The sequence below is a fragment of the Homo sapiens genome, chromosome 10 (genome assembly GCF_000001405.40).
Source record: "Homo sapiens chromosome 10, GRCh38.p14 Primary Assembly".
Classification (NCBI taxonomy): Eukaryota; Metazoa; Chordata; class Mammalia; order Primates; family Hominidae; genus Homo; species Homo sapiens.
The window spans coordinates 47,958,529-47,970,720 of NC_000010.11; the positions used below are offsets into that span (position 1 = coordinate 47,958,529).

Sequence of the window (12,192 nt, forward strand, 5' to 3'; positions counted from 1 at the left end):
GCAGGGAGGAAAAGGACTCAGATCCCTCGTGTGCCTTCCACTGATGGCTTCGCCTCCTCCTCTAACAGGCCTGTGGTCTGATGTTGAGTCCATGTGGCCCCCAGTCTATGCCGGAGGTACTCCCCGGCTAACCCTAGAAGCCAGTTGTATTAGTCCTTTTTCATGCTGCTATGAAGAAACACCCAAGACTGGGTAATTTCTAAAGAAAAGAGGTTTAATAGACTCACAGTTCTTCACAGGGCAGCAGGAGAGAGAATGAGTGTTAGCAGGAGAAATGCTGGGCACTTATAAAGCCATCAGATCTCACGAGACTCACTCACTATCATGAGAACAGCATGGGGGAAACCGCCCCCATTATCCAATTACCTCCATCTATCTAGTCCTAACTTTAACACGTAGGGATTATGGGGATCGTAATTCAAGATGAGGTTTTGGGTGGGGACACAGCCAAATCATATCAACGATGTTATCCTGTCAGAACTCAAGAGAAGGGTGAGGGCTGGGGGAGGGCCGGGGGATGAGCCCATCTGAAGTGGCCAGTGGAAGCAGTTGGCCTTCTGGAGAAGGAGGCAGGAAAGGCTGGGAGGTAGGTGGCCTTGGAGGCCCAGAGGGTAGGGGGAGAACATGGGGGTGGAGTGACAGCTGGACATCCCGAGGTAGAGACTGGAAAAGGAGGCCTAGGGAGTTCCAGATGTACCCACCTTTCTCTTTGTAACTTAATGCTGGTTGCATGACCTGTAGGTAACGTTGCAGGGGACTTGGGGTACAGTATGAGCTCTGTGGTTCCCTGCTTTGAGAAAAGGAATCCTCTTTACAAACTTTCTATGTGATTGTGGTGGGGGTAATAATAAAGAGAGCCCCCCACTGCCCACCACAAGGGCAGTCAGAGGACCCACATTGGCCAGAGTGTGTCACACATTGGATGTGCTTATTAGGTTGGGATCAGCACGTGGACAGCAGGGCCAACTAGGGTCCATTGTTAGGAAACTGAGTGCTGGGAGAGCAGTTGTCTCTCCTTCGGCATGTGCTCTAAGGAGTCTGAGCTTGGACCTGCTGAGCACCATAGCTGTCTCCTGGGGAGACTGTGTCTGAAGCTGGAGCCCAACAGAGCCCTGCAGAGGCCAGAGACGGGGAGGGAAAGTTCAGGACCTTGCTTGGACTCCTGGATCCAACCTCACTTCAAAGTCATGGTCACGGATTTCCCAGTTAGAGAGCTCACCTTGAGAGGTGGGGTCTCTGTCCCATCCCCTGGAATCTAGGTGAGCTCTATGACTTCTCTGACCCATAGAGTGAGGCATATGGTGCTGTGCCCGCTTCTAAGCTCAGGGCTAAGAGGCTGTCAGCTTCCACTTCCTGCCTTTCTGATCCAGATGCCATGCTGTGAGAAGGCCCAAGCCACATGGAGGAGCTGTGCCTAGGCCTGCAGACCACAGCCCTCACTCGGTTCCCAGCTGCCAGCTATGTGAGGAAGCCACTTGGGATGTCCAGCCCTGTCGGGCCTTTGGATGACTCAGACGCCATCTGACTAACCCAGGGAGAGACCCCACACAACAACTGCCTGGCTTAGCCAAGCCAACTCCTTCAACTGTGAAAGATGGTGACAAATTATTGTTTTAAGCCACTAGGTTTTGAGGTTATTATGCATTATTTGAAAATAATTAAAATTATTTCAAAAACTGTTTATTGTGACTGATATGGATGCCTAAGGTCCTTGCATAAATGTGTCCTCACTTGATTTAGATGCCAAAATAGGAATCTGCACCTTGAATCTCATCATGAGCTCCATGAAGCTTTGGGTAGCCTCAAGAATTCTAGAGTGCAGGGGCTTAAATTCAAATAACTCTGGCAGAACACTGATGGCCTCCCTCCTCTGGCTGTATCATGCACAGCCTGCTTCAGCTAAGGGGACAGAAGGAGGGAGCCAGCATTTCTCTGAGAACCAATTATAAACACCTTGGGGGAACTCTCATGATCAGTAAGATGCTTTCTGAGCATTGCTTTATGCATATGCTAAGAAGCTGGGGCAAGAGTAGCTTTTTTTGTAATAGTACATTTTACGTAAATTTTTACTGAAGTGAACAGACATATACAAAAATATACAAATTATAATTATATGGTTCGATTAATCTTTGCCAAGGGAACCATGTCACCCGCACTCAGATTCAATAATTGAACATTGTAAGCACCCAAGAAACTGACTTGCACCCTGTGTTGATCATGCCCCCCCAACAGTGATAGTCACCTCATTCTCCAGAGGCCTTAGGCATTGCCTCAGGATCATGGTGGAAGCTTCTCTGGGTGGGGCTGCTTGGGGACCAGCCATCCTGCAGTGGGCCCATGATAAGCACCTGTGGCGCCACACCCCTGGCTAGCAGGCCTGCTGGGAACACCTGTAGGAAGACCTTGGCAGGATCATTGGCCCTTGAGTCAGCTGCTTGCTCAACTTCATGATCAGAGATAAAGGTGAATGCAAGTACTGTGGCCATGCCATGCTTAGGACTCGAGAATGGTGCAGCCTCTCTGTAGGCCAGGGAAGGACCACTAATATGGCTCCCAGCCAAGGGCCTCAGGGATTCTGAATGGCACAGTCTCTGCAGAACTTGCACTGTGTGGCTTCAGGTCTTCCAGGACAGCTAAAATGTGTGGGCCTTGAGGGTGCCTTTGGGTGCTCATAGCCTCATTAGGGAGATGAAGAGGTGAGCAGATGTCACATATGTCAAGACAGTGGAAGCATTAAGAAAGGGGAAAGGATGGGGAGGATATCACCCCAAAGGTATGGGAAAGGACCTGGTATGTCTGGAAAGTGAAGAAGGCCAGTGTGGCTGGAACAAAAGGCACCTGGCCAGAGAGCTGGGAGATGAGGGCAGACAAGGAGGAAGGGGCTTTCTAGGCAAGGCTGAAGCCTGGATTTACCCAGAAGGCAATGAAGAGCCACCAGACACTTTAGGGGGCCCATGGTGTTGTAAAATGAAGCATTTGGGCTTTGTCCCAGGTTCCTGGAAGGGAGCTTGGCATTTTCAGGGTGGCAGGAGTGTCTTTGCTATTCATCGTGGGTCCCTGGGGCCACACCGGAGTTTATGCTGACCAGGTGCTTCAAGGTGGGACTCCATAGCTTCAGGATGCAGGCTGGCCAACCATGGCAAGACCAGCCATGTGAATAAAGGGTCAGGACTTTGAGCCACATGATATCAGCCTGACCTCTGGGGAGAGAGTGGGTATTGGAATTGAGTACAAAGGTGTAAGCAATGATTTCATCAATCATGCCTAGGTAACAAACCCCAATAAAAACTCTGGACATTGTAGCTCAGTGCAGCCACCCTGGTTGGTAATCATATAACCGTGTTCTGGGAGGCTTCACATTTGGGAATCTCCCCAAACCTCTCCCTGTGCATCTTTTCATTTAGCTTGTCCTGATTTGTACCAATCAATAAAACTGGAATTGTAAGTGCAGAGGTTGGTGAGTCATTCTAATGAATTATTTATTCAACTTGAAGCCCTGAGTGGGAGCCTCTATCTTGGTAGCCAGTGATTGGAAGTGTGGGTGCACTGGGAATGCAGCTGGCATCCTGCAGGGCCCTAAGTCTGTGGCATCTGTGCTAACATCAGGTGGTTACTGTCAAGACTTTCTTCACTCAGTCAGGTCTGTGCTTCAGGTGCACTGCTCTGTGGAGTGGGGAGGGGGCCTGGAGTGCATTTCTGCTCATGGGGCTCATGATTTGAACTCAGGCCTAATATGTTAATGAGCAGACACCTGGCCAAGCCCTGGGGGCCTCAAAAAACCAAGACAGGGGAAGCATCAAGAATGTGATGAGAGAGTACGCGGCCATGGGAGTGTCACCTTTGCCTTCTCTTCTCCCTGTGGCTGGAAAGGCTGGCCTGTCTGGCTGCCCAAGGATAGATGGGGAGAGGTTTAATTGAATCACCTACTGTGTTGGGTAAAGTAAACTGTCGTCATTGCAAATATAATCAGGACTGTATTTTAACAGTAGAAAATGTGATTATAATGACATATTTATCAGCTCCTTTCACCTGGGTGGATCTGAGGACATTTCAGAAAACAAGTGATTGGAATTGCTTGGCCTACCTCACACACTTACACACACACACTCTCACACACTCACAGAGACACACACTTATAAGCACACACAGTCCTGTGCATGCACACAAGTGTATACACACCCACGCACATTTCCACATGCATGTGTGTGCACACTCACATACACAAACACACAGAGACACACCCTTACAGGGCATCTGGTGCTCTGGCCTGCTCTGACACGCAGCCCCTCCTGGGAGTGGGCAGTAAGCATTGGGGGGACATGTAGGTAGTCCCTGGGGAAGCTGGAAGGCTGACCACCTGGCGAGCAGCAGGGCGCACTCACTGGAGCCCCTGCCTGGATGAGCTGGCTTTGCTCAGCTCCAGCTGTGGTTCCCTCTGTAGACTGTGGGATCAGAAAGCCCTCATCACATGATGTAACTCTCACAAGGCTGCAATCTACTTCCCTGTCCAGGTCCCAGAGGCTCCAGGCTCTTTGTGGAGTCACCTGCTTGGGCAGCCACGGTTCTGTGGAGCTGCTTGTCAGAGAGTGCGCAGGCTCTGGAGTCAGTCAGACCTGGGTTTGACTGCTGACTCCATCTCTTACCTGCTGTGTGGCCATGAGCAAATGCCTATTCTCACTGGGACTCAGTTTCCTCATCTACAAAGTGAAACGTGTTCATACTTCCCTTATGGTCAGTGAGGATGGAATGGGATAACATTCTGCACCCCGCCTGGCACCACAGGCATATGAGGTATTCGATAAGTGAATGATTGTGCCAGACAAGAAAGCTGCCTGCCCTCCTCCTCCTCGGCCCTGTGCAGGGACTGGGGTGGATGAGAAAGCCCGTGTTTCCTGAACACCTGTTTGCACCAGGCACCTATTTGGCTGCTGCCTGGATGTCCTTCTCAGGTTCCAGCTCAGGTCTCTTGGACCAGTCCCCTGGTCTGGGGTAGGGATGCCTGGAACGGCTCTAGCGGCAAGGCCATATCTCGCCAGGCTGCCAGGATGAGCTGAGCATTGTGTCCACGGTGGGTGTCTGAAGGAAATAATGTATACAGTGGTCCATTTCCAAGACCAAGTGCCTTGAATCGGCTTAGGTCAGCAAACTATAGAAGCAACAGGACATACTAGGCCCCTGCTTGGATAGCTGCTGCCTGCTTGTCGGCCTCCCCCTTCTTCCCTCTTCCCCACCCCCTTAGTTGCCCTCACCCGAACCAAAGAAGTTTAGATAAAAGTTTATTAGTCTGCAAGATAGCTTGATTTGTCTCTTCTTGTCAGCCTGCCTAGCTACTTAGGTCATAAGTCAAACACTTGAAGAGCCCCTGAGCTGACTAGGATTGCAATGCATTGTGAGCTGCAACAAAATGCAGCAAGACAACCCTAAAAAAAAACACCTAAAGCCCCTACCTAACAATCAATAGGCAACATCCGGGAAAATTGTGACCCCATAGTACTCAGTCTATGAGCAACTGGGGGAGGGACCCGTACTCTAGGGATAAACTGCTTGTCGAAACTGCTGGGTGTGCTTGTCCATCAGACACCCGATCTTGCAAGTTCATCATTAAAAGTTTCACTTTCGCTGTTCTCTGGGTATCTGAGTCCATTCTTTGGGTTTGGACGGGTAAGTTTGTTTCTCACATGTACAAGCCAGAGGTCCATGAGTGAGAATCGGGGGCCAAGGAGCTTTGTCCATGGGGCCGTAATGGGATGAGAGGGCAGAGGTTATCAAACTCTGAGGGCTGGAGGAAGACATGGTTTCTACCTCTTATCTCATTTCCTACTCATTTAGCCTTCGGAGGCAGGCACTGCCGCTATCCCACCGAGGAGGAGTCTGACACTGTGGGCGGTGAAGGCCACAGTTACCCGGTGAGTAGCTGGGCTGGACTCCACCCTTGCTCCCTCCTACAATCAACCTCCTGCTCCTCCCAACAACTTTCCTGAAAGGAGGCAGTGACCACTGTGCCCTTGCAGCCTCCCCGGCAACCGACTTCTGAATCATCCCACTGCAGAGATCTCATTACCGCAGTGAGTGTGGCTCCAGCCTCCCCTCCCTTGGCTGCTAATGAGCGCCCTAATTTGATTGCCTCCAAATGAGTGTGATGCAAAATTAAAAGATGCCAGAAGACATGACCATAAATCCAGTGAGTTGGCTTCAATTTATTATGTTTGAATTCAATTAGATTTCTCCTCCGATGTTTTCCGAATATTTATCTAGCTGCCGGCTACAGAACGATAACTGGAAGGGGCTATTACTGTTTAATTCCAGCCTCCTCCATTCAGCTTGGGCTCTGGCAATACCGTTGGATGGAAAATCTCAGCCTGGATGTGGGGAGGTCAAGGGAGTTCAAGGTCAGCTGCTGAGCCTTCTGCCAGCCAGCCAGCATATTTCCTGTTGGGGAAGGGATTCAAAGCAATATACCCTATTAAAATGTTTTAAAAATGATTTTTAGTGCATAAACACTACAAGGGACTCCACAGAAGGGAGTGTTGGTGTCAAGGCCTTTGTTGTGTCACAGGCAGCAGGGGGGATGGGGATCTGGGGTCTGGGCTCAGCCTGGCCACGAACTTTGTGTGACTTGGGAAAATCACTAACCTTTTCCAGCCTTGGCTTCTCCATTTGCAAAACGACGGAGTTGGACTCTGGGAACTGTTTTCAGTGGCCCTGGATTCTGCACTGCTACTCTCCTTTTAGTTTCAGGGTGTTTGCCCACTCTCCTTCCCCACCCCCACAGCCATGTGTCCTGCTTGACCCTGGGAACCTGACGTCTTTAAGCTGCCTCTCAGGCTTTCTTACTGACTGGGCAGAGGTTGGAATTAGCCAGTGGGAGACTCTAGCTGGAAGGCAAAAGTATAGGAAGAGAGAGAGTGGTCAGTGTATCCCCCCACCCCGTCCCCACTGCCCCTCCCCAAGGCTGTGTCTCTCCAAGACATCAGCTCCTGCTGGAAACCCCTTCTCCACATCTCTAGCTCTTACTGGCTGTGGCAACACTATTCCTCTCTGTCTAGCCCCATGAGTAACAGCATCCTAGAGTTGTTTGTTTTCGTGCTTCTCAACATCCCTGTTCATCCTCTTCACCTGGCCACACTTCTGTAAGGACTACTGCCATTAAAGTCTCATCATTTGAAGCATTCAATGCCATTTCTTGCCATGACCCTGAACAATGCAGATACTAAATCCATTTTTCGACTGTGGTTTTCCATGGAGGGCTCCCCAGGTCTAGAGGGGAGCTGAGACAAAAGCATTCCCGGCTTGGGAGCCTGTTGTGCAGTTGGGGAGGTCCCAGAGCACCAAGGCCAAGCTGGGGAGACGTTGTCCCTACGGGCATGGCCAGGCCTCCGGCCTCAGGGAGGAGAGGGAGACGGTGATCATGGAGGGGAGGCCCTGGGAGTGAGAAGCTGGGGGAATTGTTCCACCCTGCCCCTCCCCCCAACCTCCAGAGAGCGAAAGACGATGGGATGTGGGAGGAGGGCAAAGGGGAAGAGGAAGAGGCTCCCTGTCCTGCTGGGTCCTTAGCCAAGTTGGAAGTGGGAGAGTGAGAAGCCCCCATCTAGGGCAAAGGAGTATGCCCCCAGGGGAGGAGAGAAAGGCTGATGACACAGAGGGTTCATTTGCTCTGAAATGGGCCTCCCAGTGGAACAGTGACGAAGAGGCAGAGTCAGCCGTGGCGGAAGAGCAGGAAGGAGAGGAGTCCCAGAGCAGGATGGAGGGAGCATCAGGGAGATGGGTGGATGGCCAGGGCTGGCCTATGGGGCGATGACCAAAGGTTGCAGGGGTGGGTTCAGGAATGAGACCAATGAAGTCTCCTGATTTATGGCTTCCAGCTTTGGTGTAAGTCAATGACCCGAATCCCTGGAGAAGGGTGGGGAATCTGACTCTGAATATGTGGCCCAGGAGCCCTGCATGAAGGAGCTGGGGCCTGAAGAGTAACTCTGCATTGAGTACTAGGCCTCCAAATCAGATCCTGGCCAGCTGCTGTCTCTGATGGCTCCCAGTCCTCCCCTCAGACCCACGGCTGTAGGCCAGACTGGCAGGGGCAAGAGGCAGGAGCCAAGTGGGACATGTCCAGTGTCCTGGCCAAACATACACTGGACGCAGATGAGCCATATGCCTGGGAAACAGAGAAATGGGGTGAGGCCAGGTCTTCTTGTGAGAATGAATGTGCCTTACTCTCTCCTGGAGAGAGGGTGATGACAAGAGTTCAATCATTCATTCATAATTGCTTTTTGATTTAAGCAGGCGAGTTTGTTGTTTAACAGGCTGGGAACATCTCTCTTTTATTGAAACATGTGACATAGCAGGTTAAACTCCTAAAGATTCAGCACAGCAGATGAGAATCAAGGAGTTTCCTTCTTAAAAAGCATAACTTGCATATGAATGAAGATGATTCCAAATTATGTTTTTTCCCCATGACCCTAAAATTTTATCCCAAATGGAGTTATCATATTAGATATTGATCAGATCAGCATTTCATATCAAAGCTCAGGACATCCATCTAAATATTTAAAAATCTTTCACTCTCACAGCACATCTTGTGATCAATGTAAAACAAACAGATAGGAACAAATCAAATATGAGAGAAGGGTTTATGGTGAGAGAAAACAGTTTCTATCCTCTCCCCTCCCCAGTCCTGGCCTCACTCTCCAGAGGCAACTTCTTGTAAACATTTCCATTTTTAGTACTTCTGGTGGGCGCCTCCACAATGCTTAGTAGCATGTATAGGCACCCTTATTTTTTTATTCATCTGGAGAAAATTTATCTACCTCCTGTGACGGAACATAAGAAATGGCCTCATTATGCACCTCTGCTTCCTCCCTTCATCCTTCCAAAGTTTTATCATTTTGGCATAATTATTTTTAGTTTTCTGTTATTTACTTTTAAAACTTTAAACCATATAATTGTACTTTGATTCTGCATTCCATCCACCTCAGGGAGAGTAACGGTCTGGGGCGGTCAGGTTGGGTCTGTTCCCATACCCTCCCCTTCTTCTGAAAGGACTCTCCCCTCCCTCCCGGGGGCCTGTGCCCATGACCAGCCAGTCACAGGGCCAGGCATATGTCCTGGGCCCTGGCCACTGTGGGATACAGGCATGCTCCCCAATCTTGACCACTAGGAATCCTGCAGGACTTTCACTACTAAAACTGCTCTCTTCAGGTCACAACAGTAACTATCAGTTCAACTACAACAAAGGTTTCTGAAGACAATGGCTTCTCCACCCAAGCAGGTTGTATATAAATTCCAAATAGAACTTGGCATCACCCTGAAGGAATTCTAACTTCACACTGTTGGGGAAATTTACCAAGATAGCTTCAGAGTAAACTAACTTTACACAGCACATTAAAACAAAAGACATTTATTCAGCGTCATGATCAGACTATTACATTTAGCAATCAACAGCATGGGTGCAAAAAAAAAACCTATATTAAAACCCTTAGCTGGAATGCTTTACACTTCCCACAGAACAGAAACTAAAATAACCTGTTATACAGTTAGTCACAAATACAGTCCTCGAGATTTTTGCCCATACACATGAGTATTTGTCTAAAACATGTCTTCTTTGTAGCAGCTAGGCCCTGCCACCACTGTGCTTGGCTGAGTTCACAAATCTGTCGTAACCTGTAGATTCCCTGTCATTTCTCTGGCTCTCCTCTCCTGCTAAGCTTTGTTTCCTAATTAAAATCTGCCACTGCCATAGCTACTGCTGCTGCTGGAACTGCCAATAGCCACCTTGGTTTCATGGTTTTGCAAAGTATAGGCCTCCATTGCCACAGGGGCCAGAGCTTCTGCCTCCAAAATTTCCTCCCTTCATGGGTCCAAAATTTGAAGACTCATTGTTGTAATTGCCAAAATCATTGTAGCTTCCACCACCTCCAAAATTGCTTCCATCATTACCAAATCCATTACAGCCATCCCCACTGCCACCATATCCACCACCACCACGACTGCCACCAAAGCCACCAAGACCACTGAAGTTTCCTCCAATACCAAAGTTGTCATTCCCACTGAAACCACCTCCACGACCACCACCAAAGTTTCCAGAACCACTTCGACCTCTTTGGCTGGATGAAGCACTAGCCATCTCTTGCTTTGACAGGGCTTTCCTAACTTCACAGTTGTGGTCATTCACAGTATGGTATTTCTGAATGACAATCTTATCAACGGAGTCATGGTCATCAAAAGTTACAAAGGCAAAGCCCCTTTTCTAGCCACTGACTCGGTCAGTCATGATTTCAGTCACCATTAAAAGGGATTACCCAAGCAAAATCATGGAATTATTGGTTATAAAAGTAATTGTTGGCACATCCTATGTAACATATCTAATTGAATAATGGTACCAGATTAAATTATAGATGGGAATGAAGCTTGTGTATCATCCATTATCATGTGTAATCAATAAACAATTTAATTCTCTTGAAAAAAATAAATAAAACTGCTCTCTTTTGTTCTGGGATTACCTCTAGGAAGGAAATGTAAAATCAGCTCTTGTAGGGTGCCTCCAGGCCCCTGACACGTGGAAAGATCGTGCAGGAGAAAACCAACCCAGAGGTCAGTGGAGGTGGAGAGGAAGTTGTGAGAGAGATCAAGCTGTGGTGGTGAGAAAGGCAGCTGGTCCTGCTCACTGAAGCCTCCATTGCTTCCGGACTGTCACAGTTACACCGACCTGACAATTTCAGTATTAGCATTAGAGAATTGTTTCAGCTTTCCAACTAACGCAGGGTGTATTGTACTCCCCACCTCAGGTAAGATGAGAATTAGCACGTAGGCTGCCTGTGCTAGTTTTCTGTTGCTGCTGTAACAAATTTCCACAAATTTATGATTTGCTTAGAGCACCACAAATCTTACAGTTCTGGAGGCCAGAAGTCCAGCATGGGCCTCACGGGGCTAAAATCAGTGTCACAGGGCAGCTGTGTTCCCATGAGGCGGCTGTGTTCCCATAAGGCTCCGGGTGGAGACTGTTTCCTTGCCTTTTCCAGCTTCTAGAAGCTGATGGAGTTCCTTGGCCAGCCACTTTCTCCCTCCATTGTCACAGCAGGTGTGGCTTCACTCTGACCTCTTCTGCTTCTCCCTTCCACCGAAGGGCCCCTGTGGTTACACTGGGTACACCTGGGGGCTTAGCCTGTCTAATATTGCCACACCCTCTTGTGAATCTTCTTTTTTCTTTTCTAAGAGATGGGGTCTCGCTTTGTTGCCTAGGCTGGAGTAGGGTGGTGTGACGGTAACTCACTGCAGGCTTCAATTCCTGTCCTCAAGCGATCCTCCTGCCTCAGCCTCCCAAAGTGCTGGGATTACAGGTGGGAGCCACAGTGCTAGGCCTCTCATGAACCTTGTCTTCCAGAAATGTGTTGGACTCTCATCCATTAGTAAGCCATCTTTCTCTCTTTTTTAATGCTTTTCCCTTATAGATTTACTTCATTTTAAATTTATAAGCTTAAATTTCAGTGATGATGTCTTAGGAAGAACAGGAGAGGAGGAACAAAGGAACAAACTTCTTTAATGGGAAGCTGAAAGGACCCTTTTAAAAGTGTGCAGTGGAGAGATCCTGGGCTTGGTCTCTGGTAAACCTGGTGAATGGTGGGTTAACACTCCCTCCCTCACTCGGTGTTGCTGGGAGGATAAGACAGAACATGTGGCGAGCAGGTGTCCAATAGCTGCCTCTTGCTATGTGCAGCCAGTGCCACATCCAGGCTGAGTGCTGTGGGGAGTGTGGCTCATCCCACTGGGGCCACCCCAGGCCTCGCTCACTGGAGACTCCAGAATCAGGGCTGACTGAGCAGCTTGTGGCACTGAAGAATGTTCTAGGAAAGGAGGTGTGTCCTCCTTGGAAGGGGAAGCTTCATGGTGGGTGAGCTGAGGGTAAGGGGTGGGTGAGGGCCATTTGAAGAGTCACCTCCCCTACATTCTTTTATCTTTTGGAGCCTCCATCCACGCCACTTCAAACAATGAACACACACATCCAAGTCAGTAAGTGCACTTTGTGTATATCTATATAAGTGATGCGCAATTACTGTATAACAGTTCACTAGCTGACCTGACATTATTCACATATCGTAGGCATGTGACTAATTGTAGGTGTGTAATGAAGTGTTCACATCTTATTACATATTTAATTCCTAAGGCATTTCTACAGTTTTATTTGAGAATTTTGGAACTGCC

General features: G+C 48.9%; 1 protein-coding gene and 1 long non-coding RNA gene across 2 annotated transcripts in view, besides 1 other annotated feature; one reads left to right on the top strand and one right to left on the bottom strand.

The window, feature by feature from the left end:
- Positions 1–12,192, bottom strand: part of ANXA8 (annexin A8) — a 523,804-nt gene that overhangs the window by 490,536 nt on the left and 21,076 nt on the right. The gene's annotated exons all lie outside the window — the stretch shown is intronic.
- LOC124902423 (uncharacterized) lies at positions 216–6,177 on the top strand. Its single transcript, XR_007062143.1, has 2 exons — positions 216–5,661; positions 5,830–6,177. It is a non-coding gene; the product is annotated as an uncharacterized LOC124902423 (long non-coding RNA).
- Positions 11,589–11,883: a silencer, noted in NCBI's record as "tiled region #8752; HepG2 Repressive non-DNase unmatched - State 20:ReprD". NCBI's record gives its function as "represses a minimal TATA promoter and a strong SV40 promoter by Sharpr-MPRA in HepG2 cells {active_cell/tissue: HepG2}" and the evidence as "EXISTENCE:reporter gene assay evidence [ECO:0000049][PMID:27701403]".